Source organism: Homo sapiens, chromosome 2 (genome assembly GCF_000001405.40).
Source record: "Homo sapiens chromosome 2, GRCh38.p14 Primary Assembly".
Taxonomy (NCBI): Eukaryota; Metazoa; Chordata; class Mammalia; order Primates; family Hominidae; genus Homo; species Homo sapiens.
The window spans coordinates 24,027,308-24,048,178 of NC_000002.12; the positions used below are offsets into that span (position 1 = coordinate 24,027,308).

The following is a 20,871-nucleotide window of genomic DNA, read 5'->3' on the forward strand; positions in this document are numbered from 1 at the left end:
GCCTGTAGTCCCAGCTACTCGGGAGGCTGAGGGAGGAGAATGGCATGAACCTGGGAGGCAGAGCTTGCAGTGAGCTGAGATCGCGCCGCTGTACTCCAGCCTGGGTGACAGGGCGAGACTCCATCTCAAAAAAAAAAAATAAAATAATAATAATAATAATAATAATATTCCCACAAAGAAAACATGAGACCAAATGATATTTCCAAGTTCTAGCAAACTTTCAATCAAGGATCATTCCTACCTCACACAAACTCCTCCACAGAGCAGAAAAAGAAGGCACACTCTGCTACTCATTCTATCAGGCCAGAGTAAGCTTCTTACCAAAACCAGCCAAGCACATTAAAAAGGAAAGAGGCCAGGTGTGATGGCTCAAGCCTGTAATCCTGGGACACTGGGAGGCCAAGGTGGGAGGGTCACTTGAGCCCAGGATTTCAAGAAAAGTCTGGGCAACAAAGGGAGACCCTATCTCTACAAAAAATTTTAAAAAAATTAGCTGGGTGTGGTGGCACACACCTGTAGTCCCAGCTACTTGCGGGGCTAAGGTAGGAGGACTGCTTGAGGCCAGGAGGTTGAGGCTGCAGTGAGCTGTGATAGTGCCACTCACTCTAGCCTGGGCAACAGAGCAAGCCCCTGTCTCAAAAATAAAAAAAGAATTTACGGGCTAATCTTACCCATTAACAGGGAAAGGAAGAATCTTAAACAAAATAATAGCAAAATGAGTAGCAACGTATAAAAAATAAATACACCATGAACATACTGGGTTTATTCCAAGAATGCAAAGTTTAGCATTAAAAAACCTATCGGCTGGGTGTGGTGGCTCACGCCTGCAATTCCAGCACCTTGGGAGGCCGAGGCGGGAACACGAGGTCAGGAGTTCAAGACCAGCATGGCCAAGATGGTGAAACCCCATCTCTACTAAAACTACAAAAATTAGCCAGGCACAGTGGCAGGCGCCTGTAATCCCAGCTACTCAGGAGGCTGAGGCAGGAGAATCGCCTGAACCCAGGCGGCAGAGGTTGCAGTGAGCCAAGATCACACCACTGCACTCCAGCCTGGGCGACAGAGAGAGACTCTGTCTCAAAAAAAGAACACAAAAAACCTGGCAAATGAAATTTACCACACAGAGCAATGCAGAGCATGAAGTCAGGAACTCTGCAGAGGGACCCCTCAATTATCCAGCAGAGGCTGGGCTCAGTGGCTCATGCCTGTAATCCCAGCACTTGGGAGGCTGAGGTAGGCAGATCACTTGAGATCAGGAGTTTGAGACCAGCCTGGCCAATATGGTGAAACCCCATCTCTACTAAAAATACAAAAATTAGATGGGTGTGGTGGCGGGCACCTGTAATCCGAGCTACCCAGGAGGCTGAGACAGGAGAATGGTTTGAACCCGGGAGTTGGAGGTTGCAGTGAGCCAAGATTGTGCCAATGCACTCCAGCCTGGGCGACAGAGTAAGACTCCGTCTCAAAAAACAACAACAACAACAACAAAAACCCCCCAAACAAATAAAATTATCCAGCAGAATACTGATTAAAGACATAAATATGAAGACAAAACTTCCATAAAAAGGAAGATAGGTAAATGTGTGGCTTCCTTAAAATTAAAATGTTTGTCCAACACACAAGGTATAAAGAAAGAGGAGGCCGGCAGGAGTTCGAGACTATCCTGGCCAACATGGTGAAACCCCGTCTCTACTAAAAATACAAGCATTAGCCAGGCGAGGTGGTGCATGACTGTAGAACATTAAACAATCCTTTGAAGAATTTAGCTCTTTTCTCCCTGCCTCCAAAGCCAGCAAATATGAGATTATTTTCTATTGTTCCAGTGACTGTAATAATAGCAGAGGTCAAGGAAACATCTCTTGTATGAGAGTTGTCATGGAATCAGATTTGTTGTAAAGAACCATTTATATTCTGGACTGTCCACCAGAAGAAGGAATACAGACAACATATGCATATATAACTGCAAGATTATTGCCGGTTCCTCTATAGCAGCAATAATCGCAAAGAAAATACTACCAAAACATCCAAAACAGCCACAATAACCATTAGTGATTTTATTGAAGACTTATTCACAGTATTTTGACCTGAGAAATGGTGATTTTAACATACCCTTTTAGGTGCCCACATTGATCTTAGTTAACAGTCTTGTAGTTCCCTCTTTAGGCTTCAAGATAATTGTGATTTCATCGCACCCCAGATACTTCCAAGTGGAGCCAGGCCTCAGACTGTTCTCAGTCACTGCTCTCCCACAGCTGATTACAGACATTGCCTGTGCTTCCTACCCCAGCAGCTGTCTAGTGCACTTGAACCACAAAATGGGCCCTCACTTCTTTCCTAACCCAGCTCCATCTTGGTAAACTGTAACAGACAGACAGGAGTCCCCAAGGGCACAAAATAGTTTCTTTCCAGATGATTTTAAAGGAAGGGGGGAAAAGGAAGCATATGTGCTAATGGAGCTTCTATGGCTGAAACAATTTATCTGCAGATGCCTAGCCACTCACTGATCAATTTGTTATGCGCCGTGACTGAAATCTGTGATTCCATCTGAAGGCAGTGAGAAGTGGTGTTACCATCTGAAGTGGGTCAGGGCTCTTACCTGACTAAGCTGGTACTTTAGCCCATAAGTGAAACAAAATGGCACTTTTTAGGACTACCTCAGATTCGGTTGAATTTCTAACTTCCTGAAATACTTTCTCTCACAGATTCTCTGCTGGTCTCTAAGACTTAAAAGGAGAGAAAATAAAAATATCAAATTAAAGTGACAAGTTAACTAAGGGAGCTGACTACTGGGAGAAAAATAGGAAAGTTGCGTGATCCCAAAACTGGATTTAAAAAAAAAAAAAGTTATTTCAGGGACACTCATGAGTGGCCACAGCACAAAATCCTGCAGTAGGACTTACCTGGGCTCGACAGTGTGGTAGCAGCATCGGCACAACCTCAAGTGGAACCCAGAGGGGACAAATTCCCTTGAAATTTCATTCAAAATTTTCCCAGGGCCAGTTTTTAAGAGTACCTGGACCTTCGTCAGCCAGAATTTGTTAAGGAAGCAAGAGGGTTTGGTTTAAATTCTGGGAGGTCCAGGCAACATCAGAGCCACTTCCTGTTCCTGAGAGCAGAAGCCAGTGGGTCTCTGGTCCTCCTTGGAGCTCTGCTAATTCTTGCTGGTTTGAGGTTAATATGCTAGAGCACATGCCCCCCAGCAGACTCCTCAACCTCCTCTTGAAGCCAAGAAAAAGACCTATAACAATGCCAAGGTATCTTTTAAGTGCTCCTAAGACAGCTTCAATGCAGCTTTGGACAAGGGACACAAAGCCTCAGAGAAACCATAAAACACCATCCATATGGCACCATAATATTGTTTTGTTCTGAGAATTCTGCCCTTAGTCAAAACCACACAGTCATGAATACATAAACACCACTTTCGGAGCCATCTAATAAAGACTGAGCTCTGCTACACAGCAGCGAGCCTCAGCTCAGGGGAAACAGGGGGAAACCAGGAGAGCCGACCATGGCAAGCGCTTCGCCTGAGTGCAGTGGGAGTCTCATTGGCGAGTGTCCAGTGTCAAGCAGGCCTTGTTTGTAATGGTCTCATCTGAAGAGCTACACAGCAAGGACACTGCAGATATCAAGCCATGCCATCTACATGGTTACAACAGCCAGTGGTATCTAAACTGGGGGCAGCAAGGCCTGTAAAGACTTTAAGAGAAGAAACAGCACCTGGACTGTGAGAAAAAGAGTCTCTGAAGACATCTGACCTGGACAGGCTGCCATCTCTTATGATTATTTCCTGTGTGGCTGTGAAGGTTAACGGGATAAAGCCCTCACTGTCAGCAGAGAGAAGAATCCAGTGGGAATCTGCAAATAAAAATAAATACACAGGCAATTTAGTATATATTATTCTTATGATGAAACATATGACTACAAATTTTTTTTTCTGAGTGAAGGAATATAGTAGTTGATAATATTCAACTCAATCCTTGTAAGATTTTACAGAGAATGGGGTATTGGGAAGACTGGGTATTACTTAGGGTCAGGTAGGAGAAAAAGGGGAAAAAATGAAATGATATTTGATGTTCAATGTGGTGGCTACTGTTACAAGAATGAGGCATAAGAAAACAACCATGCTCCACATCTGATGAATCTGGCATGACTCAGTCCCTTGCCACTTAGGAATATCCTTTGAACATCCATGTTTACTCCATATTAGAATGGCAACTCCTCAAAGAAATATTCTGTAGGCCGGGCGCAGTGGCTCACGCCTATAATCCCACCACTTTGGGAGGCCGAGGCGGGCAGATCTCGAGGTCAGGAGATCGAGACCATCCTGGCTAACATGGTGAAACCCCATTTCTACTAAAAATACAAAATATTAGCCAGGCGTGGTGGCATGTGCCTGTAGTCCCAGCTACTCGGGAGGCTGAGGCAGGAGAATCGCTTGAACCCAGGAGGCGGAGGTTGCAGTGAGCCGAGATCATGCCACTGCATTCCAGCCTGGGTGACAGAGTGAGACTCGGTCTCAAAAAAAAAAAAAGAAAGAAAGAAACATTCTGCAATGCTGCTATGATCTTTACATTTTAGTGCAACAGAAATAAATGAGGCTTTCTGTTACTTCCTTGCAGTTGTTATACACTGCTTTGTAAGTCTTTTCTTATTTTTTCATATGTACATTTAACTTTTCCAGCTAGGCTGTAAGTTCCCTAAGGGCAGGGTGCATATTTTCCATATGTTTTGGCACCTATACTAGGCCTGGGTATATAGTAGGCAATTAATAATATTTGTTAAGGCTGGGTGTGGTGGCTTATGCCAGTAATCATAGCACTTTGGGAGGCCAAGGTGGACGGATCACTTGAGGTCAGGAGTTCAAGACCAGCCTGGGCAACAGAGTGAGACCCCGTTATCTACAAACATTTTTTTTAAACTTGGCTGAGGCTGGGTGCAGTGGCTCACGCCTTTAATCCCAGCACTTTGGGAGGCCGAGGCAGGCGGATTGCCTGAGCTCAGCCTGGGCAACACAGTGAAACCCGTCTCTACGAAAATACAAAAAATTAGCCAGGCATGGCAGCGTGCGCCTGTAGTCCCAGCTACTCAGGAGGCTGAGACAGGAGAATTGCTTGAACCCGGGAGGCGGAGGTTGCAGTGAGCTGAGACTGCGCCACTGTACTCCAGGACCGGGTGGCAGAGCAAGACTCCATCTCCAAAAAACAAACAAACAAACAAACAAAACTTGGCTGGGCATGGTAGTGAACACCTATAGTTCTCACTAGTTGGGAGTCTGAGATGGGAGGATTGCTTGAGCTCAGGAGTTCGAGGCTGCAGTGAGCTATGATCACACCGAGGCACTCTGGCCTGGGCAACAGAGCAAGACCCTGTCTCAATAATAATAATAATAATAGATTACTTGTTAACTATCCAGTGAATTACTGAATGGTTGGTATCCCTCATTTTCATTACCGGCATAGTTAAAACAGATGGTGGGGGAGGCAAGGATGTTAGCTAGGGTCAATTTCTGAGCACGACCTACCATGTAGCATTTCAATGAGAGAAAGGCCAAAAGTCTGCTGAACTGTACTGAGCCTTAGTTTACCATCACAGAGAAGCACCGCTCTTTTTTCAACAACAGGACCTAGATAATAAGGTTTCTGCAAATAAAAAATAAAAGTTGTTAAACTGATTGCAGAAGTAATCGAGTTAACATTTCTTAAGAAAGGAATGTGTAAATAGTTTTTTAAAAAATTCTTATCTATTACCACTAATCAACTGGACTTCAGTTTTAAGGAGCTCTTTGCTGCATTATTTAACACAACTAAAAAATCCGAACAAAACAGCCTTATTTTTCCTTTTGTTCTACTCTTTCCTCAGGGTTCTTCATCACTAGGAACTGGCTCTCCTAGAATACAACTAATAACACTAAAAGGATGATGGACAGCAGCCTGAGAGACACAATCTGACGGTAAGAACACCTTCTTGGCTGTTTCAGATATAGCTAAGACACCTCATGGTTTATTAGGAAAAAAAATGCCGAGAGAGTGTCCTAAGTGGTAGAGTAGCAGAGGATTTGCATAAAATAAACAAACCATGGTCAAAATTCACATAGCTTAGAAAAAGCACAAATAAAAATAAATGATTTGTAAATTTTAAAGTCATTAAAAATTGGCTGGGCACAGTGGCTCACCCCTTAGTACCAAAAGTTTGGGAGGCTAAGATGGACAGATCACTTGAGCCCAGGAGTTCAAGACCAGCCTGGGCAATATGGCAAAACCCTGTCTTTACAAAAAATAAAAAAGTTAGCCAGGCATGGTGGTACACACTTGTAGTCCCAGCTACTCGGGAGGCTGAGGTAGGAGAATCACTTGAACCCAGGAGGCAAAGGTTGCAGTGAGCTGAGAAGGTGCCACTGTACTCCAGGCTGAGTGACAGAGACAGACTCCATCTCTAAATAAATAAATAAATGAAGGACAGTTGTATAAGTTATGTGTCTAACTTATTTTGTTGTTAAGCACTTTGGGAGGCCAGAGTGCATGGATTGCTTGAGCCCAGGTATTGGAGAGCAGCCTGGGCAACATGGCAAGACCCCATCTCATAAAAAGAAAATAAAACTATACATCACTGTGGTAGGATGAACCACTCAAAGAATATGTCCACTAATATTTTTAAATGAAGTCACAGGAATAAACTGTAAAAGTCAAAACCAACTAATCATTTATTTCACGTCTTATGAAATGTAATTTCTGAAATTACAGGGGAAACTATTTCTTGCTTTTGATTATTGTGTAACTTTTACTTTTCTCATTACAAAAGGAATAAATGATCAATTTTTTAAAAGTATAATAGGGCCGGGTGTGGTGGCTCACGCCTGTAATCCCAGAACTTTGGAAGGCCAAGGCGGGTGGATCACTTGAGGTCAGGAGTTCGAGACCAGCCTGGCCAACATGGTGAAACCCCATCTCTACTATAAATACAAAAATTAGCTGGGTGTGGTGGTGCACACCTGTAATCCCAACTACCTGGGTGGCTGAGGCAGAGAATCGCTTGAACCCAGGAGGCGGAGGTTGCAGTGAGCCAAGATCGCGCCACTGCACTCCGGCCTGGGTGACAAAGCAAAGCTCTATCTAAAAATAAATAAATAAAATAAAAATATAACAGAAATATATAATGCAGACAGTAAAGCCCCCAAAATTCTATCCTCCAGAGATAACTACTGACAACAGCTTGGTTGGATGACATAATTATAAACTAAAAAACTGAGGAATTGAAAGGGCAACAAAACTTTTTTTTTTTTTTTTTGAGACAGAGTCTTGCTCTGTTTCCCAGGCTGGCGTGCAGTGGCACGATCACAGCTCACTGCAGCCTCAACCTCCTCAGCTTAGGTGATCCTCACACCTCAGCCTCCCAAGTAGCTGGGAAAACAGGTGGGTGCCATCACGGCTGGCTAATTTTTGTATTTTTCGGTAGAGACAGGGTTTTGCCATGCTGCCCAGGCTGGTCTCGAACTCCTGGACTCAAGTGATCTACCCATCTCGGCCTCCCAAAGTTCTGGGGTTACAGGTTTAAGCCACTGTGCCTGGCCAAACATGGTTGTTTTAACCTTAGTTTTTAAAAATATAAAATTTTACATTTATAAGTGTTTTAAAAACAGAAAGATATATTATTGTTTGCAAGTAAAATAGCCTATTTAAAGAAAATTTTAAAAATAATATATTTTTATATTAGATTTTTTTTGGATTAGATAAATGTACAGAAAAAATATGGAAATATTTACATCTAACATCTAATAAAATATTTAGCTATATCTGTGATTTTCTCTAAAGGTTGGATTATGGAAAATTTTTACTTTCTGTAATGGTAAAATTTTTTTCCTCAACAAGTATATATTACTTTTGTAATTAGGAAAAAAAAATACTATGCAGCTGTGGAAAAAAAGATGAAAAAAGAGCTCTGTGTGCTGATATAAAGAGCTCTCTAGGACATACTATTAAATGGAAAATGAAAAGGTGTGTATATCACCTTCCCTTTTGTGTAACAAAAGGGGAAATAAAAATACATAACTAAAGTCTGCTAGTATCTGCATAAAGAAATAAAAATAAAAATGGTTACCTAAAGGAGGAAAGGAGAACAGGCTGAAGAAACATAGGGTAGGAATAAGAGTTCTTGGTATACAGTTTTTATTAAAATACAGTTTTGCTTTTTAAACCAAATAAATGAATTACCTATTAAAAAAAGACAGAAGAAAAAGAAAACAAACTCTTTAAAAAGTCATAGTAGGAAAGAAATCCAAACCAGTTATCACATTTATAAATAAAATAATTTTAAAAAAATCAAAACTATGGCTGGGTGCAGTGGCTCACACCTGTAATCCCAGCGCTTTGGGAGGCTGAAGCAGGAGGACTGCTTGAGCCCAGGACTTCCAAACAAGCCTGGGCAACATAGCAAGACCTTGTCTCTATAGTTAAAAAAAAATTTTTTTTAATTAAAAAAAAATTAGGCCGGGCGCAGTGGCTTACACGTGTAATCTCAGCACTCTGGGAGGCCAAGGCGGGCAGATCACAAGGTCAGGAGATTGAGCTCATCCTGGCCAACACGGTGAAACCCCGCCTCTACTAAGAATACAAAAATTAGCCAGGTGTGGTGGCACGTGCCTGTAATCCCAGCTACTTGGGAGGCTGAGGCAGGAGAATTGCTAGAACCTGGGAGTTGGAGGTTGCAGCGAGCTGAGATCGCGCCACTGCACTCCAGCCTGGTGACAGAGACTCCGTCTCAAAAATAAATAAATAAATAAATAAATAAATAAATAAATAAATAAAATAAAATGCTCCTCACAGCAAAGCTGTGACTTAAAAAAAAAAATTAAAACTCTACTACTGAAAACTCCATGTAGTTAATGTGGCAAAAATCCTCTTTAAAAAAATGTAGGGTTGGGGCCACATGCAGTGGCACACACCTGTAATCCCAGCACTTTGGGAGGCTGAGGCAAGACTATCACTTGAGCCCAGGAGGTCATGATCAGCCTAGGCAACATAGCAAGATCCTGTCTCTGCTAAAAAAAAAAAAAATTAGCCAAGTGTGGTGGCATGTGCTTGTAGTCTCAGCTGCTCAGGAGGCTGAAGCAGGAGGGTCACTGATCAGATTGGTGACATACGAGGAAAAGGACAGCCTTATACATAGCTGGCGGGCGTGTGATGATGCACTGTTAAGTAAAAATCTTTGAGAGGCAATCTGGTAACTCAATTAAAAGTAGAAACACATATACTCTTCAAATTTGCATTTCTACTTCTGGGAACCAATCCAACAGAAATAAAGGTACTAATATGAATGGATACATATAAGAGTACTACTGCAGCATCATTTGGAGTAGCTAAAAACTAAAAACAAAGTGAATGTCAATCAACAAGGGAATGGCTAAATAAAGAGCATACTCTCAGTATGAAGTAAAGAGTGCACCATATCACCCTATTTTTGTAAAAACAATGACAAACCATTCCCACATACCTATATATCTATGTACACAAAGACCTGTGTTAGATCATGTGACCATGGAGAAAGTCACGAAAGGATCCATGTTAAGCTGCTGGTTACAGCGGATTAAGGGGAAGATGGGGCAAGGCCATATTTTATATAGGAGGAAAGTGTCCATGATAAAAACATGTATAATATGATCCCACTTATATAATGTTTGGACATGCATGCATAAAGAAATGCATCAAAACATTTTAAATGAACATAACCTTTTCCTTTTTCTTTGAGACGGAGTCTCGCCCTGTTGCCCAGGCTGGAGTGCAGTGGCACAGTCTCGGCTCACTGAAACCTGTGCCTCCCGGGCTCAAGTGATACTCCTGCTTTCCCAAGTAGCTGGGATTACAGGCGCCCATCACCATGCCCAGCTAATTTTTATATTTTTGTTAGAGACAGGGTTTCACCACATTGGCCAGGCTGGTCTCGAACTCCTGACCTCAGGTGATCCACTTGCCTCGGCCTCCCAAAGTGCTAGGATTACAGGCGTGAGCCATGGAGCCCAGCAACATAACCTTTTTTATAACTGGAGGAGTATCTCTATTATATAAGGAAAAGGTTGTCACAATGAAATAACATGATTTTTTTTCTAAATATAAATTGCCCGAATTAGTGCAGACATTTATTTTTCCACGTCATGCACCTGATAAAATCATGATGCAGACTGATATGTGCGCCTATCTGGTTGGCAGGCTAAAAACCAACCAACCTGCAAAGGTGTACCAACTTGCCTGTAACATAACATGCCCAGCTTAGTGAAGCTCAGTTAGAGCACCATCTTCCTCATCAATACGTTTCTTGCAGTACTCACCGGCTGCAGGAGCTTTTATGTATAGTGGTAGTTCCTCAAAGGAGAATTTACCTGGTAAATGATGTGAACATAAGGAAGATCTTGAGAGAGTGGATACACTGAAGAGGATTTCTTCCCATTATGCAGACGGTTTGTAAGTTCAGAAAGACACCGTTGCATTTCAACCAGGTTCCTAGATAAAATTTCCACTTCCTTAGACAGCTGATAAGTTTCCTTTTCACTTTGTAAGTTCTTTCTTTGAGGCAAACGAGGAGGCTCCAGTGTGCTGGTGTGGTCTGGTGTGCTGCTGTGTCTGGGCAGCGATGCTGGCTGGGTAACAGGCTCAGCATCTAGAGCTATGGAGCCATCACAGATACTAGACAGAGGACTCTGGATTTCTTTAATAAGTGTTCTTCCAGGCCTTCCATTCTGACTACTGGTATTAACTGTCAGCAACAGCCCTTTGTTTTGGTGACAAAAATCTGGGGAAAGACTTTCAATTAACTTTTTTCTATTTGCTTTATTTAACGGAGCACTGAAAGTAGAGTAGGTAGTCTGGCTTTCACCTGATGTTATTGAAGGTTCTTCTTCCAACATTATTTCTCTAACAATCAAGCTAATGGCATACTGATCAGACTTTGAAGAAGGAAGAAATGTTGTATCAGTGAGTTTTTGTTTTCCTACCAAAATTAGTAATAGTTGGTCTGTCAAGAAACATATCCCTTTTGGTCTTTCAGTGTTCTCTAATCGAATTTGCTGGATGTTTGGGACTGAAGATGGAATGACAGAGTAGATCAAAATTATATTACAAGTGTTGGAAGCCACTGCCACTACGTGGGCTTTAAGATTAAATGCTATCAGATCAGGAACCAGAATGCCTGGAATAGTGACTTTTCTCGTCATGGTAACTGCCTTCTTAAAGGTCACAAGGACCAAATGTGAAGAATCTTGGCCAGTTCCTGTCAAGTAGTCCTTTTTTCTTAGACAAATAAGAGAATTACCCTCAGACTTATGTTGATTGAAATGTATGTGAGTTAGATCCAGAGGTTCTAAATAGGAAGAAGAAACTGATACTTCAGAATTTGTTTCAGAATCAGTTGCCTCTTTATCCATAGAGCGTACTTCACCAATAACTGGTAAAGCATACGGAGTCATGTCTTTACTGTTAGGTGGGATATTAAAGGTTTCAGATGCATTTAAGCCACAGATCTTATCCAATGGAAGCTCAGTAGCTATAGCAACCTGTGAGTCCACAGTTGCTGTGATGGAGCAGACGTGGCTGTCCACATCAAACACCAGGCAGGAGGAGCACCTGTGAAGAGTCTTCTGAGCGCTGTCCCAAATATAAGAATGCAGGCTGCTGCCTACTGCCACCACCAGCCTCAGGCCATCCTGGGTCCAACATGCACAGTGAATGCGGCCCTGGGTGTTGATGTCTGCCTTTACCTGGGAATCATCAGAGTGAACATTAGGGAAAATGGAGACATCCTGAGCAGTCAACACAGTCAGAATAGCACATTTTGGGTGCCACACACAGCCCTGGGGAAGGATAGGTAGTGATCCTCTAATCTCACAAGTCTGAGACGTCAGCCATTTGCTTGACTCCATAGGGCTGGGACACAGCTGCCACACAGTGACATGCTTCTCATGCTGGACAGCGAGTAGAACAGGTGTATCATCTGCAACAGGTGGGGCCCAGGACAACCCACAGACACATTCAAACTGTCCAATGACTTTGGAGTCCCCAAACTTGACCTCTCCACTGTGAAGCCGCAAATCAGTTAGGACAACTTGATTCCCATCGGTCCAGGCAAGGCCATGGATCGGATGCACTGCTTGATGCAACGCATTCAGTCCAGTCCTGAGTAGTTTTCCTTTTCCCAACTCCATCCTTTTGATAAAGGTTACCTGAAATGATTAAGAAGGAAAGTTACACCATGAGAAATCTAGACAAATCTAGAATGTAGGACATTTGGTAAGACAACGGCTTAGCCCCTTCCCAGGTTAATAATGTGGAGAGACAAAAGGACAGGGGGAGTATTATAAATTAAGAGACTACTGAGCTATCAGGCAAATGCAATGTATATACTTTGGATCTTGAAGAAATAAAATCTTCTACCTAATGAAGATTTTTAGAACTGGGGAAATCTGAGTATGGAATGGATATCAGAAAATATTGTAGAGTTATTATTTTTCTTCTTTTTTTTTTTGAGACGGAGTCTCACTCTTGTTGCTCAGGCTGAAGTGCAATGGCACAATCTCGGCGCACTTCAACCTCTGCCTCCTGGGTTCAAGCGATTCTTCTGCCTCAGCCTCCAGAGTAGCTGGGATTACAGGTGCCTGCCACCAGGCCCAGCTAATTTTTTTTTTATTTTTAGTAGAGACGGGGTTTCACTATGTTGGCCAGGCTGGTCTCAAACTCCTGACCTCAGGCAATCCACCCACCTCAGCCTCCCAAAGTGCTGGGATTATAGGCATGAGCTCCCGCGCCCGGCCAGAGTTATTAATTTTCTTAAGTGTGAACATGGTATTGTGGTTATGCAGGACAAGGTCCTTATTATTTAAATAAGCATGTTGAAGCACTTGGGGTAAAATGTCATGATGCCTACAATGTGCTTTCAAATGGTTTGACAAAAAAAACCCAAATTTTCTATAGACACACAGAAAGAAAACAAATGTAGCAAAATGTTAATAATTGTAGAGTCTAGATTGAGGCTATGTTAGTATTTATGGTACTTTCAACTTTTAAGTTAGAAAATTTTCCAATTAAAAATTTAAGAAAAGTCTCCTCCATCATCTAATTTCTATTCGTCCTTTCACTGCCAAATCAATGAATAACTGATATGCACATCTCTGACTTTATTAGCACTTATTTCAAATCCTTCCAAAGTGGCTTTTATCCCTCTATTGAAATGACACTCAAAAATCACTGTTTCTATTTCTACTTCTACTTCATCTTATTCAACAGCACTTAATAATTTTCAGAACATTTTCACATTCCCTATTGCATTTTATCTTACAATAATCTTTTAAAATAATGTAAAGTAGGTTAGGCAAGTATTATCTTCATTTTTTCACCCTGAATATTTTTCCCCCAGGCATTTGAATCACTAAAGAAGCATATGCTTAGGGCTGGGCGTGGTGACTCACGCCTATAATCCCAGTACTTTGGGAGGCTGAGACGGGAGGATCACCTGAGGTTGGGAGTTCGATCCCAGCCTGACCAACATGCAGAAACCCCATCTCTACTAAAAATACAAAATTAGCCAAGTGTGGTGGTGCATGCCTATACTCCCAGCTACTTAGAAGGCTGAGGCAGGAGAATCGTTTGAACTGGGGAGGCAGAGGCTACAGTGAGCTGAGATCGTGCCATTGCACTCCAGCCTGGGTAACAACAGCGAAACTCCACCTCAAAAAAGAAACAACAACAACAAAAAACAAGTACATGCTTAGGCTGGGCACGGTGGCTCATGCTTGTAATCCCAGCACTTTGGGAGGCTGAGGCGGGTGGATCACCTGAGGTCAGGAGTTTGAGACCAGCCTGGCCAACATGGTGTAACCCTGTTTCTAATAATAATACAAAAATTAGCCGGGCATGGTGGCGCATGCCTGTAATCCCAGCTACTCAGGAGGCTGAGGCAGGAGAATCACTTGAACCCAGGAGGTAGAGATTACAGTGAGCCAAAATTGCACCATTGCACTTCAGCCTGGGCGACAGGAGCAAAACTCTATCTCCAAAAAAAAAAAAAAACTGTTCCCTCCTACTCAGTGCCAGCCCCTTTAGCTCCTCCTCCTTTCCAACATTTCAAAGCCTTGATAAAAGCATCATTAACAATTTGGTGTTTAGCCTCTGAAAATGTTAAAGAAAGACACAAAGATATATAGGATTTTACATGTTATGGCTTTTCTTTTAAACAAAAAATGGGGTAGCCAGGCATGGTGGCTCATAGGCATGAGCCACCCAGCACTTACACCCATTACACCCAAAGTGTAATCCCAGCACTTTGGGAGGCCCAGGCAGGCAGATTACCTGAGGTCAGGAGTTCGAGACCAGCCTGGCCAACATGGTGAAACCCCATCTCTACTCAAAATACAAAAATTAGCTGGGCTCGGTGGCAGGTGCCTGTAATCCCAGCTACTCGGGAGGCTGAGGCTGGACAATTGCTTGAACCTGGGAGGGGAGGCGGAGGTTGCAGTGAGCTCAGATGGCGCCACTGCACTCCAGCCTGGGCAACAAAAGTGAAACTCTGTCTCAAAAAAAAAAAAAAAAAAAAAAAGATACATATAGTCAGTAGGGAGAATAAGGACATTATTTGGATAAGCTGTAATACCTGAATACTCACTTTGAAATATAAACATAAAAAATACTATTTAATGTAAAATGAAAAACTGCCTCAGGAAAATTATATTTTGAAATACTATCAATCAGTGGATACATAAATATATAATAATGGATATAAGAATAAAATGTTGCAATAATAAACACAGACTGAGAAAGACTAATTTTAGTATAAAGCCTGGGTGTGGCAGCTCACGCCTGTAATCCCAGCACTTTGGGAGCCCGAGAAGGGCAGATCACGTGAGGTCAGGAGCTCAAAACCAGCCTGACCAACGTGGAGAAACCCCATCTCTACTAAAAATACAAAAAATTGGCCGGGCGCAGTGGCTCACGCCTGTAATCCCAGCACTTTGGGAGGCCGAGGCAGGCGGATCACGAGGTCAGGAGATCGAGACCATCCTGGCTAACACGGTGAAACCCTGTCTCTACTAAAAATACAAAAATTAGCCAGGTGTGTTGGCGGGCGCCTGTAGTCCCAGCTACTCGGAAGGCTGAGGCAGGAGAATGGCGTGAACCCTGGAGGCAGAGGTTGCAGTGAATCGAGATCGCACCACTGCACTCCAGCCTGGGTGACAGAGCAATACTCCGTCTCAAAAAAAAAAAAAAAAAAAAAAAATTAGCTGGCTGTGGTGGCGCATGCCTGTAATCCCAGCTACTCAGGAGGCTGAGGCAGGAGAATCGCTTGAACCCGGGAGGTGGAGGTTGCAGTGAGCCGAGATCGTGCCATGGCACTCCAGCCTGGGCAACAAGAGTGAAACTCTGTCTCAAAAAAAAAAAAATTTAGTATAAAAACAATTACTGGGCCAGAGCCAGGCGCGGCGGCTCACGCCTGTAATCCTAGCATTTTGGGAGGCCGAGGCGGGCAGATCACCTGACCATCAGGAGTTCGAGACCAGCCTGACCAACATGGAGAAACCCCGTCTCTACTAAAAATACAAAATTAGCTGGGCGTGGTGGCACATGCCTGTAATTCCAGCTACTCAGGAGGCTGAGGCAGGAGAATCACTTGAACCCAGGAGGCGGAGGTTGCAGTGAGCTGAGATCATGCCATTACACTCCAGCCTGGGCAAAAAGAGTGAAACTCCGTCTCAAAAAAAAAAAAAAAAATTACTGGGCCAGGTGGCTCATGCCTTTAATCCGAGCACTTTGGCAGGCCAAGGCGGGTGGATCACCTGAGGTCAGGATTTCGAGATCAGCCTGGCCAACATGGCGAAACCTCGTCTCTACTAAAAATACAAAAAAATTAGCCAGGAGTGATGGCACACTCCTGTAATCCCAGCTACTTGGGAGGCTGAGACACGAGAATTGCTTGAACCTGGGAGGCAGATGTTACGGTAAGCCAAGATGGCACCACTGCACTGTAGCCTGGACAACAGAGTGAGACTCGGTCTCAAAAACAAAACTAAACAAAATGACTGTTGGCCAGGCACAGTGGCTCATGCCTGTAATCCCAACAATTTAGGAGGCCAAGGCAGAAGGATCACTTGAGCCCTGGAGTTCGAGACCAGAGATCAGCCTGGACAACACAGCAAGATACTGTCTCTACTTAAAACAAAACAAAACAAAACAAAAAACCCCCCAACAATCTACAAACATATATAAAGTGATGTTTAACCTTATTAGTTATCAAATAGTTGTGTAAACTGGCAGTACTCATATTTTTCACCACTCACTCTCTTCTTAATATACTTAAAATGAATTCCATTCCAATTTCTTCTCCAAAACATCTCTCACCAGGCCACCAGTGCTTCCCTGTCACTGAATCTAAATGACATTTTTCAGCCTTGTTTTACTGAGTAAGTGTCAAAGGCAGAACTTGAGAAGTTGTCTTCAGACTCTAAATCCAATGAAATGTATTCTCTACCAACCTGGTGATTTGCTTATCTGTAAATTATTTCGCATATCTCCTTGCTAGCTTTGTCCTTGCTCTTAGGATCTTTCACTTAAAAAAAAAAAGGGTCTATTATGCTTTTATATATGATGTCAGATTCAGTGGTTCTGCAGCGGCTTGCTAAACGGAGAAAAAAGTCCAGTCATTACTAATGAAGAAAACTGTGATCTCTGTCCCACTGGTCTTATGAAAGATAATAATGTTTTCTCCCTAATATCTACTTATGTACTTTAAAAAGAATTTTATTGATAAATAATGCCATGATACACTTTCATGGGCAGAGAAAATTCCTAATGGGCCAATTACATCCAAGTCGATTTATATATTTTAGGATACCAAATTCTGTCTAATGTCAATGAGGGTGTGTGTGGCCAGGGTAGCACAAGACAAGGATTTGGGAATAAGAGAAAAACAAACATAAGTTTACTGAGGTTTTTTTTTGGGGGGGGCGTGGGGGCACAGTCTTGCTCCGTTACCCAGGCTGGAGTGCAGTGGCATGATCTGGGCTCACTGCAACCTCTGCTTCCTGGGTTCAAGTGATTCTTGTGCCTCAGCCTCCCAAGGAACTGGGATAGGGGCCCACCACCATGCCCAGCTAATTTTTATATTTTTAGTAGAGACTGGGTTTCACCATGTTGGCCAGGCTGGTCTTGAACTCCTGACCTCAAGTGATCCTCCTGCCTTGGCCTCCCAAAGTGCTAGGATTACAGGCGTGAGCCACTGCATGGGCCAGTTTACTGAGGTTTTTAGAAGAATGAATTTTAATATTGTCATCTTCGGTAACAAGAAGAAATGTGGCACATTTTTCTCAAAAACGCAGTGATAATTACAAAAATCTGCTCCATTCCTTTCTACTCCTGTGTTAGCCCAGGTTCTGACTTCTCCCTTTTTATTAGGGTAAAACAAGGAGAGGTCCCCTTGATACCAGTCTCTACTTTCCAAATGAGCCTGCATACTATGTGTTGTTGGGCAGAATTATCTTTAAAAAAAAAAAAAAAAAAAAAAAAGCACAGCGGTGATCATTTTGCTCTTCTGCATAAACACCCTTGATGAATCCCCACATCTACAGTATATAAAAAGCCTCAAAATGTCTTAACAAGGCAATTAAAACCTTATATTATCAGATATTGATATATCTTTCTAAGTTTATTCTCTGATCATAAAGGGCATGCTGAGGAATTTGGAATCTTGGGGGAACCAGCATATATTCAAGTAACAATATGCAGAATGGACCTGAGAAGGAAGAAAGTTGACAAGTAATTTGAATGCCACAAAGTGAAAATGAAGCAAGTTTGCAACTATTTCAGTAGAGAAAGAAGGCCATATTCAAGAGATGCTTTTAAGGCAGATGGAATAGACAGTGATATCGATAGGATATAAGTAGTGAGGAGGAAAAAAGAATTAAGGATAACACCCAGATTTTTAGCTTGAGAAACTGCTGAACCATTAACCAGAGCATGTTTCAAAGGCAAGGAAGGCAGGGCAGGCTGGGTGTGGTGCCTCATGCCTGTAATCCCAGCACTTTGGGAGGCTGAGGCAGGTGGATCATCTGAGGTCAGGAGTTCGACACCACCCTGGCCAACATGGTGAAACCCTGTCTCTACTAAAAATACAATATTAGCTGGGCGTGGTGGTGTGTGCCTGTAGTTCCAGCTACTTGGGAGGCTGCAGCAGGAGAATCGCTTGAACCCGGCTGGCGGAGGTTGCAGTGAGCCGAGTTTGCGCCACTGCACTCCAGCCTGGGTGACAGAGCAAGACTCCATCTCAAAAAAAAAAAAAAAAAAAAGAGAGAGAGAGAGGAAGGAAGGAAGGAAGGAAGGAAGGGGGAGGGGGAGGGAAGGAAGAAAGGAAAGGAAGGGCAGGCACAGTGGCTAACACCTGTAATCCCAGCACTTTGGGAGGCTGAGGTGGGAGGATCACTTGATGCCAGTATTTCAAGACCAGCCTAGGCAACACAGGGAGACCCCAATTCTACAGAAAAATTTTTAAAAATGAGGTGGGTGCTCACTTTGGCAGCACATATACTAAGACTGAAATGATACAGAGCGTAGCATGGCCCCTGCACAGGGATGACTTGCAAATTTGTGAAGCGTTCCATAAAAAAGGAAAATAAAAAATAATAAAAATAAAAATAAAAATTAGCTGGGTGCAGCGTCCCACACCTGCAGTCCTAGTTACTATGGAGGCTGAGAGGATTTGAGCTCAGGAGTTCAAGGTTACAGTAAGCTATGATCACACCACTGCATTCCAGCCTGGGTGACAGAGTGAGACCCTGTTGGGGAGGTGGGGGTGGGGGCAGTAGGGGAGGAACGTGTGTAGTATGTGACAAATTGAAATTAACATGTGCTTCATGTAAGATGTCTACATGGTACCAATGTACCTTAGGCAGTCAGAGGTAAGGATTTGGAAATCACTGACATAGGGTTAATCATTAAAGTCAAGGTAGTGGAGAACCTCACTGTATAAGATCAGAGGGCCAGGAGGACCAAGGTTTAAATGCTCTTCAGGCATTCCCCAACGCTACTGATTTTGCCTGAAACTAATTGTATACCTATTGTTTCACAATCTCCAGAGTATAAGTTTTTTGGAGAACATGAAATCAAGAACCCTGGGTGTTTTAGGAGGGAAAAGACCACTGTATTAGTTCAGGTCTCCGGAGAGGTGGTCAGAAAACTAAGAGCCGGTGCTCAGTATATAACCATTTAATTCTGTTTTTCATCTTCTTTAAAGACAACTCATGACGAGAATCAAGGGATTCAGGTGAACTGGCATTTCCAGCAGGTTTAAACAAAAGTACATCCCTCCCCCAACTTGTTTTCCAAGTTTATTGTATTTCCACTATAAAATGATTTCAAGTTCTTTACACTTATTTGGAAACAAAAATCATACACAAGAAAAAAATTAAGAAGAGTTAACGAAAAAACATTCATCCAAAGAAAATTATGACTAATCCCTCTAGACTCTTCTATGCATAGTTTGGCTGTCAAACTTTTTCAGTTATACTGTGCAACTTTGTATCACGGTTTTCATCTAACATTATATATTAGCATTTCCCTATGTTATTTAAAAGTTTAATAAATTAGTTTTAGAGGCCACTTCACATACACTCAGTGAAGTGACATAATGTACTGAACTGCTCCTAGCTGTACCCAACTTTATCCCGCTACCCGCTATAAATAAAGCTCGGACCGAGGTCTTAAGGCTTAAAGCATTTCCTGACTTTGGATGACTTCCTTGGGACATATTCCCAGGAGTGTTATTCACGAGTCACGGTCATAATCCCTCATTTACACCCACCCCTAGCTCGATCCTCATCCCGCGACCCCTCACACGCGGCCCGCCCCATTCTCCTCATCCTCTCTGCACGCCTGAATCTCCTCCTTCCCGCCCCCTACCCACCAAGAGCCGATCCACTTCCCTCCTGACCCCCTACAGCCTCCCCACACCCGCCAGGCCCGGCAGCAGTGGAGATGAAATACCTTAGGTCTCACTGCCTCACAAAAACACCAATCTCTCTGTGGCCGCCCAACATCACGCCGCCGCACATAAGAAGTTCTGGGCAGCCACCGGAAGCACCGGCCCTCAGTCCTCTGATAGGTGGGCGGTGATATCGGTCCTCTGATAGGTGGGTGGTCCTCTGATAGGATAGGCACGCTCCGAGATGGCCCCGTCTATTGGCTTTTGAATATGCACATTAGCAGAGGGTTCGTCCCACTGGCCAATAAGCTCTGGCTCTGCCGCACGGATCGCTGGGAGTGGTAGTCCCCGTAAAACCACCGACCGCAAGCCCGCCACATTTTCCCTCCCTTAAGCACTTGAGCTCTTTCCCCACTTCTCGTCGGTTCTCTTGTCTAAGGAGTCCAGGAGCCCTAGGATCACCACGGCTTTTTAACCTTCTTTAAAATCTGATAAAATCTCTCAGGAAAATGTTCTTATCTGTACACAAAATACTGTGCATTGAGCTGAAGCCGCTGCATGGGCCTGTCCCAGCTACAAATCCCTGTTCTACCCCGACCCTAAGCGTGCCTGCTCTGGCCGCAGCCTATGGATTTAGTGCGTCCCTTAGGCTTCTTCAGACCTATGAGGAATTCCAGGTCCTGACCCTCACAGTACAGTCGACAATCATCTTTCTTTAACAACACAGCCAGAACACCTTCAGGGATGCAGACAACCTCATCTGGGACCTAAGCATCCGGGAGAGTGGGGATGAGGAAATGGAGGAAGAACACCCTTGGGGCTCATTCTGGACCAGTTTGCCAGGCTTTTCTCCCCATGCCTATCTTCCAGTGCCACTCAGGAGAATCATATCTTCACATCAGTTTTTATGTTTTTCTTTTTCTTTTC

At 43.3% G+C, this 20,871-nt stretch overlaps 2 protein-coding genes and 1 pseudogene across 3 annotated transcripts in view; 2 read left to right on the forward strand and 1 right to left on the reverse strand.

Moving 5' to 3' along the window:
* Window positions 1-2,039: 2,039 nt before the first annotated feature.
* WDCP (WD repeat and coiled coil containing) lies at window positions 2,040-20,084 on the reverse strand. Of its 2 annotated transcripts, NM_025203.3 has the most exons (4): window positions 20,007-20,084; window positions 10,370-12,205; window positions 5,522-5,639; window positions 2,040-3,855 (listed from the first exon to the last, which is right to left on the reverse strand). In NM_025203.3, exons 2-4 carry the CDS (start codon window positions 12,185-12,187, stop codon window positions 3,626-3,628), a joined length of 2,166 nt encoding a protein of 721 aa, NP_079479.1. In that variant the 5' UTR covers window positions 12,188-12,205; window positions 20,007-20,084; the 3' UTR covers window positions 2,040-3,625. The 2 variants fall into 2 exon arrangements, with proteins under 2 accessions (NP_079479.1, NP_001135791.1); NM_001142319.2 differs by lacking the exon at window positions 5,522-5,639.
* FKBP1B (FKBP prolyl isomerase 1B) overlaps window positions 5,899-20,871 on the forward strand; it is a 30,476-nt gene continuing 15,503 nt past the window's right edge. The window contains exon 1 of the mRNA XM_017003594.2: window positions 5,899-5,950. The gene's annotated coding sequence lies outside the window, so the exon portion shown is untranslated. The remainder of the gene's footprint in view (window positions 5,951-20,871) is intronic.
* On the forward strand, window positions 18,528-18,631 carry RNU6-370P (RNA, U6 small nuclear 370, pseudogene; annotated as a pseudogene).

Coding starts and splice junctions, on each gene's coding strand:
- WDCP (NM_025203.3), bottom strand. CDS start 12,187: ATGGAGTTGGGAAAAGGAAAACTACTCAGGACTGGACTGAATGCGTTG. Junction 5,640..10,369: donor ATGTTCACATCATTTACCAG/GTAAATTCTCCT, acceptor TTTTATTTGCAG/AAACCTTATTATCTAGGTCC. Junction 3,856..5,521: donor TCTCATTGAAATGCTACATG/GTAGGTCGTGCT, acceptor TTTTATTTGCAG/ATTCCCACTGGATTCTTCTC.